The sequence below is a fragment of the Homo sapiens genome, chromosome 7 (assembly GCF_000001405.40).
Source record: "Homo sapiens chromosome 7, GRCh38.p14 Primary Assembly".
NCBI classification, from domain to species: domain Eukaryota; kingdom Metazoa; phylum Chordata; class Mammalia; order Primates; family Hominidae; genus Homo; species Homo sapiens.
The window spans coordinates 65,464,129-65,483,478 of record NC_000007.14 but is presented as its reverse complement, the minus strand read 5'-3'; the positions used below and the strand labels follow the sequence as shown (position 1 = coordinate 65,483,478).

Below are 19,350 nucleotides of genomic sequence, written 5' to 3'. Positions count from 1 at the left end.
TTGATGTTTTGAAGGGTTTTTTGTGTCTCTATTTCCTTCAGTTCTGCTCTGATCTTAGTTATTTCTTGCCTTCTGCTAGCTTTTGAATGTGTTTGCTCTTGCTTCTCTAGCACTTTTAATTGTGATGTTAGGGTGTCAATTTTAGATCTTTCCTGCTTTCTCTTGTGGGGGCATTTAGTGCTATAAATTTCCCTCTACACACTACTTTGAATGTGTCCCAGAGATTCTGGTATGTTGTGTCTTTGTTCACGTTGGTTTCCAAGAATATCTTTATTTCTGCCTTCATTTCATTATGTACCCAGTAGTCATTCAGGAGCATGTTATTCAGTTTCCATGTAGTTGAGCGGTTTTGAGTGTGTTTCTTAATCCTGAGTTCTAGTTTGATTGCACTGTGGTCTGAAAGACAGTTTGCTGTAATTTCTATTCTTTTACATTTGCTGAGGAGCGCTTTGCTTCCAACTATGTGGTCAATTTTGGAATAGGTGTGGTGTGGCACTGAAAAAAATGTATATTCTGCTGATTTGGGGTGGAGAGTTCTGTAGATGTCTATTAGGTCTGCTTGGTGGAGAGCTGAGTTCAATTCCTGTATATTCTTGTTAACTTTCTGTCTTGTTGATCTGTCTAATGTTGACAGTGGGGTGTTAAAGTCTCCCATTATTATTGTGTGGGAGTCTAAGTCTCTTTGTAGGTCACTAAGGACTTGCTTCATGAATCTGGGTGCTCCTGTATTGGGTGCATGTACATTTAGGATAGTTAGTTCTTCTTGTTGAATTGATCCCTTTACCATTGTGTAATGGCCTTCTTTGTCTCTTTTGATCTTTGCTGGTTTGAAGTCTGTTTTATCAGAGACTAGGATTGCCACCCATGCCTTTTTTTGTTTTCCATTTGCTTGGTAGATCTTCCTCCATCCCTTTATTTTGAGCCTATGTGCGTCTCTGCATGTGAGATGGGTCTCCTGAATACAGCACACTGAAGGGTCTTGACTCTTTATCCAATTTGGCAGTCTGTGCCTGTTAATTGGAGCATTTAGCCCATTTACATTTAAGCTTGTTACATTTACATTTAGTATTGTTATGTGTGAATTTGATCCTGTCATTATGATGTTAGCTGGTTATTTTGCTCATTAGTTGATGCAGTTTCTTCCTAGCCTTGATGGTCTTTACAATTTGGCATGTTTTTGCAGTGACTGGTACTGGTTGTTCCTTTCCATGTTTACTGCTTCCTTCAGGAGCTCTTTTAGGGCAGGCCTGGTGGTGACAAAATCTCTCAGGATTTGCTTGTCTGTAAAGTATTTTATTTCTCCTTCACTTATGAAGCTTAGTTTGGCTGGATATGAAATTCTGGGTTGAAAATTCTTTTCTTTAAGAATGTTGAATATTGTACCCCACTCTCTTCTGGCTTGTAGAGTTTCTGCTGAGAGATCAGCTGTTAGTCTGTTGACTTTCCTTTTGTGGGTAACCCGACCTTTCTCTCTGGCTGCCCTTAACATTTTTTCCTTCATTTCAACTTTGGTGAATCTGACAATTATGTGTCTTGGAGTTGCTCTTCTCGAGGAGTATCTTTGTGGCATTCTCTGTATTTCCTGAATTTGAATGTCTGCCTGCCTTGCTAGATTGGGGAAGTTCTCCTATATAATATCCTGCAGAGTGTTTTCCAACTTGGTTCCATTTTCCCTGTCACTTTCAGGTACACCAGTCAGATGTAGATTTGGTCTTTTCATATAGTCCCATATTTCTTGGAGGCTTTGTTCATTTCTTTTTATTCTTTTTTCTCTAAACTTCTCTTCTCACTTCATTTCATTAATTTGATCTTCAATCACTGATACCCTTTCTTCCAGTTGATCGCGTCGGCTACTGAGGCTTGTGCATTCATCACATTGTTCTCGTGCCATGGTTTTCAGCTCCATCAGGTCCTTTAAGGACTTCTCTGCATTGGTTATTCTAGTTAGCCATTCATCTATTTTTTTTTCAAGGTTTTCAACTTCTTTGCCATGGGTTTGAACTTCCTCCTTTAGCTCAGAGTAGTTTGATCTTCTGAAGCCTTCTCTCAACTCGTCAAAGTCATTCTCCATCCAGCTTTGTTCCTTTGCTGGTGAGGAGCTGCATTCCTTTGGAGGAGGAGAGTTGCTCTGATTTTTAGAGTGTCCAGTTTTTCTGCTCTGTTTTTTTCCCCATCTTTGTGGTTTTATCTACCTTTGGTCTTTGATGATGGTGACCAACAGATGGGTTTTTGGTGTGAATGTCCTTTCTGTTTGTTAGTTTTCCTTCTAACAGTCAGGACCCTCAGCTGCAGGTCTGTTGGATTTTGCTGGAGGTCGCTCCAGACCCTGTTTGCCTGGGTGTCAGCAGCGGTGGCTGCAGAACAGTGGATATTGGTGAGCAGCAAATGCTGCTGCCTGATCATTCCTCTGGAAATTTTGTCTCGGAGGAGTACCCGGCCATGTGAGGTGTCAGTCTGCCCCTACTGGGGTGTCCCTCCCAGTTAGGCTGCTCAGGGGTCAGGGACCCACTTGAGGAGGCAGTCTGCCCGTTCTCAGATCTCAAGCTGCGTGCTGGGAGAACCACTGCTCTCTTCAAAGCTGTCAGACAGGGACATTGAAGTCTGCAGAGGTTATTGCTGTCTTTTGTTTGTCTGTGCCCTGCCCCCAGAGGTGGAGCCTACAGAGGCAGGCAGGCCTTCTTGAGCTGTGGTGGGCTCCACCCAGTTCAAGCTTCCCGACCACTTTGTTTACCTACTCAAACCTTGTCAATGGTGGGCACTCCTCCCCTAGTCTCACTGCCACCTTGTGGTTTTATCTCAGACTGCTGTGCTAGCAATGAGCAAGGCTCCGTGGGCATAGGACCTTCCAAGCCAGGTGCGGGATATAATCTCCTCGTGTGCCATTTGTTATGCCTGTTGGAAAAGCACACTATTAGAATGGGAGTGACCCTGTTTTCCAGGTGCTGTCTGTCACCCCTTTCTTTGACTAGGAAAGGGAATTCCCTGACCCCTTGTGCTTCCTGGGTGAAGTGATGCCTCGCCCTCCTTTGGCTCACCCACGATGCACTGCACCCATTGTCCTGCACCCACTGTCCGGCACTCCCCAGTGAGATGAACCCAGTACCTCAGTTGGAAATGCAGAAATCACCCATCTTCTGCATCGTTCATGCTGGGAGCTGTAGACTGGAGCTGTTCCTATTCAGCCATCTTGGCTCCACTCTGCCAGCACTGAAGTTTTAAAACCAAGAAATGACTTAGGTTTTAGAAATTAACAGTTGTATAAAACCTTCAGAATACCACAGGGAAAATAAATCTTTGTTTCAGAAATAAATTTTGAAGTTTGAAAACAAAGCAGAAAACCTGTTTCTGAAAACGGAAAGGACTGTTTTAAACACTGAGCACAGTTCTTCCACAGCTCTTTGAAACTCTTCAGTAGTTCCACTCTGACTTCTGGAGATGGCCAAGTAAGATATACCCCAGAATGCCAGCAAAAGAAAAAGTGGGAAACCATTAGTTCCCTAGGGGAAGAGCCAAATGATCTCAGATCTCAGAAGAGCCAAATGATCATGCATTTTCAGTAGAGATAGGATTTCACCATGTTAGCCAGGATGGTCTCAATCTCTTGACCTCATGATCCGCCCACTTCGGCCTCCCAAAAGTGCTATGATTACAGGCGTGAGCCACCGCTCCTGGCCCTGGAACTATTGTTCTTAGCTGCAGAGGTCACATTAAATTAAGCCAAGGCCAAGACTAAAGGTTCTACACATCTAAGGCAGCAAAGGCAGTACTTTCCAACTAGTTATGATGTAGCAGGATGAGCCACAGACAAAACTCCTCAGACACCATGTTAAAGAAGGAAGGAGCTTTATTTGGCTGGGAGCTTCAGCCTTTATTAGCAAGGAAATTGAGAAGGGCTGCAGTGTGAGTTTGGGAGCCTTTTAGGGAGGGGCTACAGAGGAGGAGTTCCTCTACATATAGAAGAAGGTGGCTGGGGGAAAGATCCAAGGAGGCGAGGTCTTGGGCTAGGGCTTGCCTGGAGAAATGAGGGCTATCCTTGAAGCCCTGAGGGAGGACAGTCCACGTGAGTTGTTGTGACTGGAGGGTGTTGCAGTCAGTTTGGGTGAAACAAAGAGGTTTATGGAATCAGGGTGTAGGGGAATGGTGAAGAAGGCATTTTTCAGGTCAATTGCAGTGTAGTGGGTTGTGTTGGAGGGGATGAGAGAGAGAAGTGTATAGGGGTTAGGGACTACAGGATGAACAGGGAGGACAGCCTGATTGATAGCTCAGGGGTCCTGAATGAGTTGGTATGAGCCGTTGGATTTTTTAATAGGGAGGATGGGGTTGTTATATGGAGAGTGTGTTGGTCTAAGAAGACTGTGTGAGCAGAGCTTGTTTATGGTGGGTTGTAAGCCCTTTGGTGTGTTAGGGAAATGGGATATTGGGGAACGTCGGGAAATTTAGAGGGGTCTTTTAACTGGATTTTGATGCAGTCCTGGTGAGCAGCTATGGCAGGGGTGGTGGTGTCCCACACTACTGGGTTAACGAGAGAGGTGGGTAGCGGGTGCTGGAGAGGGGGTCAGATGCCGGACTAGCAGAGAGAAGCAGGAGGGACTTCTGGTTGAGGGGGACAGGAAAAGGTGATAAAAGCTGCAAAATTGGCTAAAATGTCTCGGCCTAGGATGGGGGTGGGGCAATGAGGCATGATAAGGAAGGAGTGTGAAAAAATAGTATTAAATAGGGAACAAGTAAGGGATTCAGTAGCACGTGGACAGAAGACAAGTCCATCAACCCCCACCACAGAGGCCTGGGAAGGGTAAGTGGGTCCTAAAAATTCAGGTAAAGCCGTGTAGGTGGCCCAGCTATTGATTAAAAAAAGAGATCGGCTTACCTGCTATTAGCAGAGTTACCCTGGGCTCCAATGCAGTGACGGCAGATGGGGCCAGGGTCCCTGGGCTCCATCAGTCTTCAGTGGCAAGGCCAAGGAGCTGTGGGGGTGTGAATGATTTTTCACTCTTTGCTTTGCCAGGGCCTTGAGGAACCGGCCGGTTAGTCTGCTTAAGAGGACAATCGGACTTCCAGTGACCGGTTTGTTGGCAGGCTGGGCAAGGAGTTTTTGGCACTTGTGGGTTAGGGCATGCTTGGGCCCAAGGGCCTTCTTTTTCACATTAAAACAGGGCCTGGGAGGGTCACTGCTATCAGGTCTTTTGTGCCCCTGGGCAGCCTGGGTAGGCTGACAAATAGCTGCTGCTAGGAGCTGGTATTTATTACCATCTCGTTGGGCTTTATCTAATTTATTTTGCTTATCTCTGTTGTTGAAGACCTTAAAGGCCAGGTTAAGGAGGTCTTGTTGAGGGGTTTGAGGGCCATCTTTTGTATGTCAGGAGCAGACTGAGAGATGAAATGGATATTAAGAACAATAGTTCCAGGGCCAGGAGTGGTGGCTCACGCCTGTAATCCCAGCACTTTGGGAGGCCGAGGCGGGCGGATCACGAGGTCAGGAGATCGAGACCATCCTGGTTGACACAGTGAAACCCTCTCTCTACTAAAAACGCAAAAAATATTTAGCCGGCCATGGCGGCAGGTGCCTGTAGTCCCAGCTAGGCGGGAGGCTGAGAGAGGAGAATGGCATGAATCCAGGAGGCGGAGCTTGCAGTAAACCGAGATCGCGTCACTGCACTCCAGTCTGGGCGACAGAGCGAGACTCCATCTTAAAAAAAAAACAGAACAATGGTTCCTTCCCGGGAGGTGGGGTCAACAAGGGTATATTTTTGGAGGGCCTCTGTAAGGCGGGAAAGAAATTCAGCAGGGTTTTCATTTGCTCTTTGGGAGATTTCTTTCAGCTTTTCAAAAATTATGGCCTTATGGGCTGCTTTGTTAAGGCCTGTGATGAGGCAAGTAATCACATGGTTATGAGATGCCTGGCCAGGTTATGTGGGTTGGTACTCCCAGGAAGGTCTTCTCGGGGAACTGCAGCGGCCCCTAGGGGCTTAGTAGGGTCTTGCCGATGAAGATCGTTGGCATGCGACTGAGCTGCAAGCCACACTTTGTTTTGTTTTGTTTTTCTTTCCTGGGAAGAGAGTAGAAGAGAGGATAATATGGAGATCAAGCCAAGTGAATTTGTAAGATGGGGTGAGGTATTTGAGCTTTTTGATATAAGTGTCAGGATTGGAGGAAAAGGATCTGAGACGTTTCTTAATTTGGGAAAGGTTGGAGAGGGAGAACGGAATGTGGACGTGAACAATTCCTTTAGCCCCTGCCAGCTCTCGCAGGGGAAGTAAGGGGGCCGACTGCTGGGCCTGCTGGAGGTGGAGATGGGGAGGAATTAGAATCAGAATCTGGGTGGTTGGAGAGAGGAGGGGAAAGAGGTAAGGCAGGAGCGGGAGCATATGGTGGAGGATTGTGATGATTTGGGGGAGGATTACGGTGTTGTCAGGGAGAGGAAAAGTCAGCAGGGTTAAAGAAGGAGGAATCGTCAGAAGGAAGGGGAGCTGAGGATGAGTCTGGCTTGGAGCGGGCAAGGAGGATTTGAAAACCAGAACAGGGCTGACAAAGGGAGGGGCAGCTACGGAGGGCAAAAAAGGCCTGAACATAAGGGATTTCAGACCACTTTCCATTGCGATGGCAAACGTTGTCCAGGTCCCTGAGGGTGTTAAAATCGAATGTGCCATTTTTAGACCACTGGGAGCCATTGCCCAATTTATACTGAGGTCAGGCTGTGTTACAATGAAAGATGAGCCTTTTTGGCCAAATTTTGGAATGGAGGTTAAGGGTGTTAAGGTTACGGAGGAGACACCCGATGGGGGGATGCCTTTGAGGGAGTGGACTGGGAGGCTCCCATAGTGGAATGAGAGAGGGGTAGAGATGGAAGACTTGGCCAGAGACAAGGATGGCGGGAGAAGGCGTCCCCTGTCCCACAGTTTAAGTCGGAGAGGTACGATAATCCCCCGTACAGGCATCACTGATAGGGAGACATCGAGGGTCTCCTGGAGGCTGGGACGAGGAAACCTTTGGCCCAGCGCTGGGTCTTTTGGGAAGGAAAGAGCGGACAAGGGTTCCGGACGGAAGGTATGTCTCCTTTACTCACTCCTGAGGTGTCCCTGGTGTTGGATGTGTTCGCCAGCAATGGAAAAGATGTATGAGATCCTTGGGTCTCTAGCAGGTTCTGGAAGGGGGAGTTCGGCCAGGGGAAGGAGCAGGGGGAGGATAAAGGGAGAAAAGGAGGCCGAACTCTACCACCTTCCCGGTTTCGGCACCAAGACATAAGGTATAATTGGAAGGACAGCCGAGAAAGGAGTGAGGCCAGCAGACCCAAGTTCAGGCAAGCTGATTTATTGTCAGTCCTGCCGGGCTACCTCCTGACAAAAGCAGAGGAGGCAGCCCCTCTTACAGACTACAACAGGGCTTTATAAGGTGAGTAACTGGGTCAGGGTGGGGCAGCTGAGTTGGGTGTGCAGGAGGGCTGAGTTGGGGTGGGGGAGCTGAGCTGAGGGTGCAGGTGTCTTGACCACATCCTGGAGATGTTTTTGCCAGCTTTGTTATGCGAGGTCAACAGACATGTTAACCACATCCTGTAACTGCCTGGACAAACAATTACTGGAGGGGTCGGTGAAGGGGTGTTTGTCTTTAGCCCTGGGGAAGCAGTGCAGAGGTCACAAAGGACTGCATTATAACACCCATGGGAAGGGAGGGGAACAGTCTGGTCGGGATGACCCTAACACCCAACCCCCAAACCAAAAAATAAGACATCTCCATAGACACTTATGAAAGATCAGCTCAATTACACAAGTATTCCTAGCATTTACTTGGAGCCACATGTTTCAGAGACCAGCCAGCAGGGCCAAGTCTGAAGTAGAATACAGACCAGAGTTCCAAAAGCTACACATTGTTAGTTTTCATTCTTTACATTGGGAGAATACTCCCCTGGAGGAGGGACAGAGGGGCCACCATGTTGGAACTACTAAAGTTGCTGGAACTCAGAAGCTACAGAATACTATATCAGAAGTCTGATTCTTTGATACTTTATGAGTGGTTGCATTGTGTATACATGAGATATATGACGGCAAGGCTTTCACAAGACAAATGTAATGTGCAATTTTGAAAGACCACCTACTGCTAAGAGTAATAGCTAACAACTTTCAGGTGTTTTTTTGTTTGTTTGTTTGTTTTTGAGGCTGAGTATCTCTCTGTCACCCAGGCTGGAGTGCAGTGGCATGATGTCAGCTCACTGCAACCTCTGCCTCCTGGGCTCAGGCAATCCTCCAACCTCAGCCTCCCGAGTAGCGGAGACTACAGGTACATTAGCCACCATACTCGGCTAATTTTTGTATTTTTTGTAGAGTCAGGGTTTCACTATGTTGCCCAAGCTTCCATGGTCTTGAACTCTTGGGCTCAAGCAGTCCTCCCACCTTAGCCTTCAAAAGTGCTGGGATTATAGATGTGAGCCACCACACCCAGACTTTCAGTTTAAATAACATGCATAATTATCCATTATTACTATCAAGAATAATAGAAGTCTGATTCTTTGATTCTAATATATTCCTCTACATACAGATGTGTGTGTATGCACGTGTGCACATGCATGTGTGTGTATTTGCTAGCACATTATCTTATTTGCAGAGTCTTGGATCATGACAACATATACTCATACTTTCTCTTAATCACGAGGGTTCTTGAAGTCTTTAGCAGTTTTTTCTTAAATCATTAGATGTTGGCAAAATACATTTTAATACATGTCACATGCAAAAGCCTGGAAAATATCATCCACACTCATGACTTCCAACTTAAGCCTATATGCTGATGAGTCCCAACTATGTGCTTCTCCTTAATTCCAGAAGAATATATACACTCTTTCCCAGTGATCTCATCTGTTCCCAGGGCTTCAATTACCATTTATATGCTGATAATTTCCAAGTATATATCTCCATCCCTGATTTCCCTCTCTTTCGTAATCCAAAACACAACGTGAACTACATAGCAGACATTTTCTACCTCCATCAAAGGACCTTTCAAACTCAACCTGCTTGAAACCAAACTGACTATTTCAGCCCTTCAAAGCATGTTCTTCCTATATTTTAAGCACACTCATTTGTTCAACAAATATTTACTAAGCACTTATTATGTGCCACAGCACCACCACCCAGAAAAACCAAAAGTTCTAGATTCTCCCTTCTGTCCTCATATCCAGTCACTAAGTCATGTCTATTGTACTCCCTCTATTCTCTCAAGTTTAGCTTTTATTCTCCTATTTATGGTCCCCTGCCCTATCATCTGTGTTACTAAAACTCCCTGCCACCGCTCATTCTCCAGTCATCCTCCAGATGAATAATGTTTCCCTTCTTAAAATGTTTTCCATACTCCACATCATCCTTGGATGTAACCCAAACTCCTCAGCATTTCCCATCTATTTTTCTAGTTCATCTTCCCTCTACTTCCACATCTGTGCTCAGAGCAATCCCAACTATTCCAGTCCAATAAATGTGTCATTTTGTCTCTTAACTCTGTACCTTTGTACATGCCTTACATGATAGCCCCCTCTTTTTTTTTTTTTTTGAGACAGGGTCTCTCTCTGCCACCCAGGCTAGAGTACAGTGGTATGATGGTAGCTCACTGCAGCTTTGAACTCAGCCCTCTTAAGACAACTAGGCATACTTCCTCCACAGCTCAAGAGCCCTCAGGCCTTCACATGGTGCCCAGCTCTATGGCAGGCCACAGTCGTGCAGCCTTGACATCTATGTTTTTCCTTGTCTGGATCCCTCACTAGGCAGGGAGCTCCTTGCTGGCAGTGATTTTATCTAGTTCATCAGCTCCTAGCTCAGTACCTGGCATAGTATCAGCACTAAATAAATGTTGGTTGAAGTAAAGAATACATTTTAAAAACTTTTAAATATTTATGCAGAAATGGCATATAAAATTCATTATTAGTGAGTTTGTTTTCTGCAAATTTCCATCTGTTTTCCAAAACAGATAACTGTGGTCCTCAGTGCCATCACTCCATGAAACCTAACCTGGAAACTGCTTCTTGGGTCACATTCTCATTTCTATGGTGCTCAACATGTAAAGCTGCCAGTGCTAGAAGTAGTTCTCCAAAGTGGGCCAAATTCACATTACTGGTGACTGTCACTACTTAACAAGGATAACATCTGTGTACTTGGGGAAATGATGGAACTTGATTTTAAGAGTGGTAGCTCTATGAGATCAGTGACAATTAGCTCTGCAACAGTCTCAGGCTAATCCTGCTGAAAATGGCTTTTTCAATCGCAGAAAACTGTACCCACTAGATCTCCCCAAGCATAAATTAGGCTTAGTCTCTAGATTATTAAAGGCATAAAGATGTAGGGATATTATATGTGTGTATGTATGAGTGTACAAATATGTGTGTGTATGTGTGCTGGAACCAGGCAGGTTGCTGGAAGTCAGAAGTGACAGACACTTTATGAGCGGTTTCCTTGTGTGTACATGAGATATATGAAAACAAGGCTTTCATGAGACAAATGTAAAGTATGATTGTGAAAGACCACCTACTGTTTAGAGTAACAATTAATTTTCAAATATTAAATAACAGAAATATTTATTAATTATTGCTGTCTAAATAATGAAATCTTTATATACATACATAAAATCTATGTATGTAAATATATAAAACATATACAAACACCACACTAGGTAAAGTTATAGTTTAAAAAATATTTCTTTACTTGTCACCTCCTCTTCAATCTTCAGTTTTAAAAGAGGGGCAACTCGCAGGGCACAAAATTGGCTCACACCTGTAATCCCAGCACTTTGGGAGGAGGCTGAGGCAGGTGGATCACCTGAGGTCAGGAGTTCAAGATCAGCCTGGCCAACATGGCAAAACGCCATCTCTACTAAAAATACAAAAATAAGCTGGGTGTGGTGGTGAGTGCCTGTAATCTCAGCTACTCAGGAGGCTGAGGCAGTAAAATCTCTTGAACCTGGGAGGCAGAGGTTGGAGTGAGTTGAGATTGTGCCACCACACTCCAGCCCGGGCAACAGAGTGAGACTCTGTCTCAAAAAAAGAGACTCATGTCTCAAAAACAATAATGAAAAAAATAAAAGAGGGGCAACAAGGCTCCCAGGGCCACAGAGAATAAATAAATATACTTCAAATTCACCACCCCTTCTTCATTCTTTGCTGCCAATCAGTTTAGACAATGATACATTCAGAGAATCAATGTTCTTCAGCGATATGCCACCCCAGGATCTCACTGGACAGTGGTCAAGTTCTCTAGACTATGTCTTTAGGGGTTTAGTCTTACATTCATTCAAACTAATTAATTCCATTAAAACCTCTGTACACGGCACTCTACTCACCACTCTAGAGGATATCACGATGAATCAAACATGGCTCCTGCATTCAGTAAGCATAGAGTCTGGAAGAGGCCATGAATAAGCTACGTATTTCAAAAAACGTGGATACTAAGTGACAAGTACAGATAAAGTATTTCTCTGAACCCAGTGCAATTGGGACACCCTTCTATATTATCTCTGCACACATGCAAATTTCTGTATTCAAATATTTTCCAATCCTTTGCATCTGTCATGTGCCAGTTAACTTTCTAATATATACCAAGTGAAGGCTTTTAATCACCTCCCTATATCTGTCACCCTAACTCTTCCTCTCTTCACCACGTTTCCATCAGCTTCAATCACTCAAAACAAAATTTGACAAAGAGCAATGAAGAATCCCAGGGTCACGTGATACACACTGTAAGTACTGATATGCAGGGTTTGGAAGACAGGCAGCAGAGCCGTAATTAAGGAGAAGAGTATGCAAATAGAATTCTGATTTTTGTTTTCCAATGAACGTCATCCCTTTCTTTTTTATCCTTTTTCCTACTTAGGCCTCTATTTGGAAGAACTTTTCCTTCAACTTTCAATTAGTTGACCTAGGCAACTACTTGAAAGTTTGGCCTAATGCAGACAGAAATTAAGAGAACTTTCATGAGGCCCTTTATCCTACGCAAATGAAATTTCCATGTTTGAAAATCCACTTTGGATTATGTCTTTTTTTTTTTTTTTTGAGATGGAGTCTTCCTGTGTTGCCCAGGCTAGAGTGCAGTGGAGCAATCTCACCTCACCACACCTCTGCCTCTGGGATTCAAGCAATTCTCCTTCCTCAGCCTCCTGAGTAGCTGGGATTACAGGCATGTACCACCATGTCCAGCTAATTTTTATATTTTTAGTAGAGATGGGGTTTTGTCATGTTGGCCAGGCTGGTCTCGAACTCCTGGGCTCAAGCAATCCACCTGCCTTGGTGTGAGCCACCATGCCCAGCCTGGATTATGTCCGTTTAAATGTACATTTATGAAACTTGATGTCTTAGGTAAGAAACACCAAACACTGAAGAAAAACTTACATACATTCAGTGTATGTTCCCATAACTGGCACCAAGTTGCATTATTTTCACAAACAATACCACAGGTATGTCAGGCGAAGATAAACATATGCATTTATATATACATGTACAATATATCTTTAATTTATCTTGAAATTATAATATCTTATAAGCAAGCACCAAATACTCACATCTTATAAGATTTGACTAGTCTACTTCTTCCAGAGAGTTATGGTAGAGCCAAATGAATTAAACCAATATCCTTTATCACTTACCTATAAAAAACAAATGGTTTTTTGACCTTAAAAAACTGGTTACTTCTTTAGAAACCTTAGTACATTGGTAAAAATAAATCAACTACTTAAATATTGGCTTTATGAAAATATTATGTTTGCAATACATTTCTAACTCTGTTCATTCATTCATTTAGTCTATAAATATATATTGAGTACCCATTATTTGTATCCTCTACTGTGCTAGACACTGGGATACAAAATAATAATAATATCTTCAAGACGATCACAGTCTAGTAGGGAAGTTACCATTAGAAACATGAACTTCAGAGCATGAGTGACACAGAAGACGGGTGATTTCTACATTTCCAACTGAGGTACCGGGTTCATTTCACTGGGGAGTGCTGGACAGTGGGTGCAGGACAGTGGGTGCAGCGAACCTAGCATGAGCCGAAGCAGGGCAAGGCATCGCGTCACCTGGGAAGTGCAAGGGGTCAGGGATTTCCCTTTCCTAGTCAAAGAAGGGGTGACAGATGACACCTGGAAAATCGGGTTACTCCCACCCTAATATTGCACTTTTCCAATGGGCTTAACAAATGTCACACCAGGAGATTATATCCTGCAACTGGCTCGGAGGGCCCTACGCCCATGGAGCCTTGCTCATTGCTAGCACAGCAGTCTGAGATCAAACGGCAAGGTGGCAGCGAGGCTGGGGGACAGGTGCCCGCCATTGCCGAGGCTTGAGTAGGTAAACAAAGTGGCCAGGAAGCTCGAACTGGGTGGAGCCCACCACAGCTCAAGGACACCTGCCTGCCTCTGTAGACTCCACCTCTGGGGGCAGGGCACAGACAAACAAAAGACAGCAATAACCTCTGCAGACTTCAATGTCCCTGTCTGACAGCTTTGAAGAGAGCGGTGGTTCTCCCAGAATACAGCTTGAGATCTGAGAATGGGCAGACTGCCTCCTCAAGTGGGTCCCTGACCCCCAAGTAGCCTAAATGGGAGGGACACCCCAGTAGGGGCAGACTGACACCTCACATGGCCGGGTACTCCTCTGAGACAAAACTTCCAGAGGAATGATCAGGCAGCAGCATTTGCTGCTCACCAATATCCACTGTTCTGCAGCCACCGCTGCTGATACCCAGGCAAACAGGGTCTGGAGCGACCTCCAGCAAAATCCAACAGACCTGCAGCTGAGGTTCCTGACTGTTAGAAGGAAAACTAACACACAGAAAGGATATCCACACCAAAAACCCATCTGTAGGTCACTATCATCAAAGACCAAAGGTAGATAAAACCACACAGATGGGGGGAAAACAGAGCAGAAAAACAGGACACTCTAAAAATCAGAGCAACTCTCCTCCTCCAAAGGAACACAGCTCCTCACCAGCAACAGAATAAAGCTGGATGGAGAATGACATTGACAAGTTGAGAGAAGAAGGCTTCAGATTATCAAACTACTCCGAGCTAAAGGAGGAAGTTCGAACCCATGGCAAAGAAGTTGAAAAACTTGAAAAAAAATTAGACAAATGGCTAACTAGAATAATCAATGCAGAGAAGTCCTTAAAGGACCTGACAGAGCTGAAAATCACAGCACGAGAACTACTTGATGAATGCACAAGCCTCAGTAGCTGATGCGATCAACTGGAAGTAAGGGTATCAGCAATGGAAGACGAAAGGAATGAAATGAAGCGTGAAGAGAAGTTTAGAGAAAAAAGAATAAAAAGAAATGAACAAAACCTCCAAGAAAAATGGGACTATATGAAAAGACCAAATCTACGTCTGATTGGTGTACCTGACAGTGACGGGGAGAATGGAACCAAGTTGGAAAACACTCTGCAGGATATTATACAGGAGAACTTCCCCAATCTAGCAAGGCAGGCAAATATCCAAATTCAGGAAATACAGAGAATGCCACAAAGATAATCCTTGAGAGAGCAACTCCAAGACACATAATTGTCAGATTCATCAAAGTTGAAATGAAGGAAAAAATGTTAAGGGCAGCCAGAGAGAAAGCTCGGGTTACCCACAAAGGGAAGCTCATCAGACTAACAGCTGATCTCTCGGCAGAAACTCTACAAGACAGAAGAGAGTAGGGTACAATATTCAACATTCTTAAAGAAAAGAATTTTCAACCCAGAATTTCATATCCAGCCAAACTAAGCTTCATAAGTGAAGGAGAAATAAAATACTTTACAGACAAGCAAATGCTAAGAGATTTTGTCACCACCAGGCCTGCCCTACAAGAGCACCTGAAGGAAGCACTAAACATGGAAAGGAACAACCGGTACCAGTCACTGCAAAAACATGCCAAATTGTAAAGACCATCAAGGCTAGGAAGAAACTGCATCAACTAATGAGCAAAATAACCAGCTAACATCATAATGACAGGATCAAATTCACACATAACAATACTAAGCTTAAATGTAAGTGGGCTAAATGTTCCAATTAAAAGGCACAGACTGGCAAATTGGATAGTCAAGACCCATCAGTGTGCTGTATTTAGGAAACCTGTCTCACGTGCAGAGACGCACATAGGCTCAAAATAAAGGGATGGAGGAAGATCTACCAAGCAAATGGAAAACAAAAAAAGGCATGGGTGGCAATCCTAGTTTCTGATAAAACAGACTTTAAACCAACAAAGGTCAAAAGAGACAAAGAAGGCCATTACATAATGGTAAAAGGGATCAATTCAACAAGAAGAACTAACTATCTTAAATACATATGCACCCAATACAGGAGCACCCAGATTCATAAAGCAAGTCCTTAGTGACCTACAAAGAGACTTAGATTCCCACACAATAATAATGGGAGACTTTAACACCCCACTGTCAACATTAGACAGATGAACAAGACAGAAAGTTAACAAGAATATACAGGAATTGAACTCAGCTCTCCACCAAGTGGACCTAATAGATATCTACAGAACTCTCCACCCCAAATCAACAGAATATACATTCTTTTCAGCACCACACCACACCTATTCCAAAACTGACCACATAGTTGGAAGCAAAGCACTCCTCAGCAAATGTAAAAGAACTGAAATTACAACAAACTGTCTCTCAAACCACAGTGCAATCAAACTAAAACTCAACATTAAGAAACTCACTCAAAACCGCTCAACTACATGGAAACTGAACAACATGCTCCTGAATGACTACTGGGTACATAACAAAATGAAGGCACAAATAAAGATGTTCTTTGAAACCAGCGAGAACAAAGACACAACATAACAGAATCTCTGGGACACATTCAAAGCAGTGTGTAGAGGGAAATTTATAGCACTGAATGCCCCCACAAGAGAAAGCAGGAAAGATCTAAAATTGACACCCTAACATCACAATGAAAACAGCTAGAGAAGCAAGAGCAAACACGTTCAAAAGCTAGCAGAAGGCAAGAAATAACTAAGATCAGAGCAGAACTGAAGGAAATAGACACAAAAAACCCTTCAAAACATCAATGAATCCAGGAGCTGGTTTTTTGAAAAGATCAACAAAATTGATAGACCGCTAACAAGACTAATAAAGAAGAAAAGAGAGAAGAATCAATAGATGCAATAAAAAATGACAAAGGGGATATCACCACTGATCCCACAGAAATACACACTACCGTCAGAGAATACTACAAACACCTCTACACAAATAAACTAGAAAATCTAGAAGAAATGGATAAATTCCTCAACACATACACCCTCCCAAGACTAAACCAGGAAGAAGTTGAATCTCTGAATAGACCAATAACAGGCTCTGAAATTGAGGCAATAATTCACAGCTTACCAACCAAAAAATGTCCAGGACCAGATGGATTCACAGCCTAATTCTACCAGAGGTACAAGGAGAAGCTGGTACCATTCCTTCTGAAACTATTCCAATCAATAGAAAAAGAGGGAATCCTCCCTAACTCATTTTATGAGGCCAGCATCATCCTGATACCAAAGCCTGGCAGAGACACAACAAAAAAATAGACTTTTAGACTAATATCCCTGATGAACATTGATGCAAAAATCCTCAATAAAATACTGGCAAACCGAATCCAGCAACACATCAAAAAGCTTATCCACCATGATCAAGTGGGCTTCATCCCTGGGAGGCAAGGCTGGCTCAACATATGAAAATCAATAAGCGTAATCCAGCATATAAACAGAACCAAAGACAAAAACCACATGATTATCTCAGTAGATGCAGAAAAGGCCTTTGACAAAATTCAACAACGCTTCATGCTAAAACTTCCCAATAAATCAAGTATTGATAGGACGTATCTCAAAATAATGAAAGCTATCTGTGACAAACCCACAGCCAATATCATACTGAATGGACAAAAACTGGAAGCATTCCCTTTGAAAACTGGCACAAGACAGGGATGCCCTCTCTCACCACTCCTATTCAACACAGTGTTGGAAGTTCTGGCCAGGGCAATCCAGCAGGAGAAGGAAATAAAGGGCATTCAATTAGGAAAAGAGGAAGTCAAATTGTCCCTGTTTGCAGATGACATGATTGTATGTCTAGAAAACCCCATTGTCTCAGCCCAAAATCTCCTTAAGCTGATAAGCAACTTCAGCAAAGTCTCAGGATACAAAATCCATGTGCAAAAGTCACAAGCATTCTTATACACCAATAACAGACAAACAGAGAGCCAAATCATGAGTGAATTCCCATTCACAATTGCTTCAAAGAGAATACAATACCCAGGAATCCAACTTACAAGGGATGTGAAGGACCTCTTCAAGGAGAACTACAAACCACTGCTCAATGAAATAAAAGAGGATACAAACAAATGGAAGAACATTCCATGCTCATGGGTAGGAAGAATCAACATCGTGAAAATGGCCATACTGCCCAAGGTAATTTATAGATTCAATGCCATCCCCATCAAGCTACCAATGACTTTCTTCACAGAATTGGAAAAAACTACTTTAAAGTTCATATGGAACCAAAAAAGAGCCTGCATTGCCAAGTCAATCCTAAGCCAAAAGAACAAAGCTGGAGGCATCCTGCTACCTGACTTCAAACTATACTACCAGGATACAGTAACCAAAACAGCATGGTACTGGTACCAAAACAGAGATATAGATCAATGGAACAGAACAGAGCCCTCAGAAATAATGCTGCATACCTACAACTATCTGATCTTTGACAAACGTGACAAAAACAAGCAATGGGAAAGGATTCCCTATTTAATAAATGGTGCTGGGAGAACTGGCTAGCCATAAGTAGAAAGCTGAAACTGGATCCCTTCCTTACACCTTATACAAAAATTAATTCAAGATGGATTAAACACTTACATGTTAGACCTAAAACCATAAAAACCCTAGAAGAAGACCTAGGCAATACCATTCAGGACATAGGCATGGGCAAGGACTTCATATCTAAAACACCAAAAGCAATGGCAACAAAAGCCATTGACAAATTGACAAATGGGATCTAATTAAACTAAAGAGCTTCTGCACAGCAAAAGAAACTACCATCAGAGTGAACAGGCAACCTACAGAAAGGGAGAAAATTTTTGCAACCTACTCATCTGACAAAGGGCTAATATCCAGAATCTACAATGAACTCAAGCAAATTTACAAGAAAAAAACAAACAACCCCATCAACAAGTGGGCGAAGGATATGAACAGACACTTCTCAAAAGGAGACATTTATGCAGCCAAAAAAACACATGAAAAAATGCTCATCATCACTGGCCATCAGAGAAATGCAAATCAAAACCACAATGAGATACCATCTCACACCAGTTAGAATGGCCATCATTAAAAAGTCAGGAAACAACAGGTGCCAGTGAGGATGAGGAGAAATAGAAGCAGTTTTACACTGTTGGTGGGACTGTAAACTAGTTCAACCATTGTGGAAGTCGGTGTGGCAATTCCTCAGGGATCTAGAACTAGAAGTACCATTTGACCCAGCCATCCCATTACTGGGTATATACCCAAAGGATTATAAATCATGCTGCTATAAAGACACATGCACACGTATGTTTATTGCGGCACTATTCACAATAGCAAAGACTTGGAACCAACCCAAATGTCCAACAATGATAGAATGGATTAAGAAAATGTGACACATATACACCATGGAATACTATGCAGCCATAAAAAAGGATTTCATGTCCCTTGTAGGGACATGGATGAAACTGGAAACCATCATTCTCAGCAAACTATCACAAGGACAAAAAAACAAACACCGCATGTTCTCACTCATAGGTGGGAATTGAACAATGAGAACACATGGACACAGGAAGGGGAACATCACACACCGGGGACAGTTGTGGGGTGGGGGGAGTGGGAAGGGATAGCATTAGGAGATATAGCTAATGCTAAATGACGAGTTAATGGGTGCAGCACACCAACATGGCACATGTATACACATGTAACAAACCTGCACGTTGTGCACATGTACCCTAAAATTTAAAGTGTAATTATAATGAAATTAAAAAATAAATAAATAAAATAAATAAATAAAAAATGCAGGAAGGTGGAAAAAAAGAAAAAGAAAAAGAAACACCAATTAAGAGTCATAATTTGGCTGGTGAGTTTGATATGTTCCATCTGTGGAGCCCTGTGACAAAAGGGCAGATTAGAAGGCAAGCATTGATTGAATTTCATGACCTTACAGAGGAAGACATGACCTCCCATAAATTCATGATCTTCCAGAGCTCATGCAACTAACTACAGATACAGTAGTTGTTCTCAACTACTGGGTATTGAGTACCTGGAAAAGGGAGACTGTGACTTATTTTTAATATATGCTTTTACATCTAATACACTTTGTATGATCTAGGGCAGTGCTT

The 19,350-nt window shown here is 43.2% G+C and overlaps 1 long non-coding RNA gene across 1 annotated transcript; it reads right to left on the bottom strand.

Annotated features, from left to right (window-relative positions):
- Positions 1-3,103: 3,103 nt before the first annotated feature.
- Positions 3,104-7,395, bottom strand: LOC124901660 (uncharacterized). The gene is made up of 3 exons (XR_007060365.1): positions 7,064-7,395; positions 4,868-6,046; positions 3,104-3,207 (listed from the first exon to the last, which is right to left on the bottom strand). It is a non-coding gene; the product is annotated as an uncharacterized LOC124901660 (long non-coding RNA).
- Positions 7,396-19,350: the final 11,955 nt, after the last annotated feature.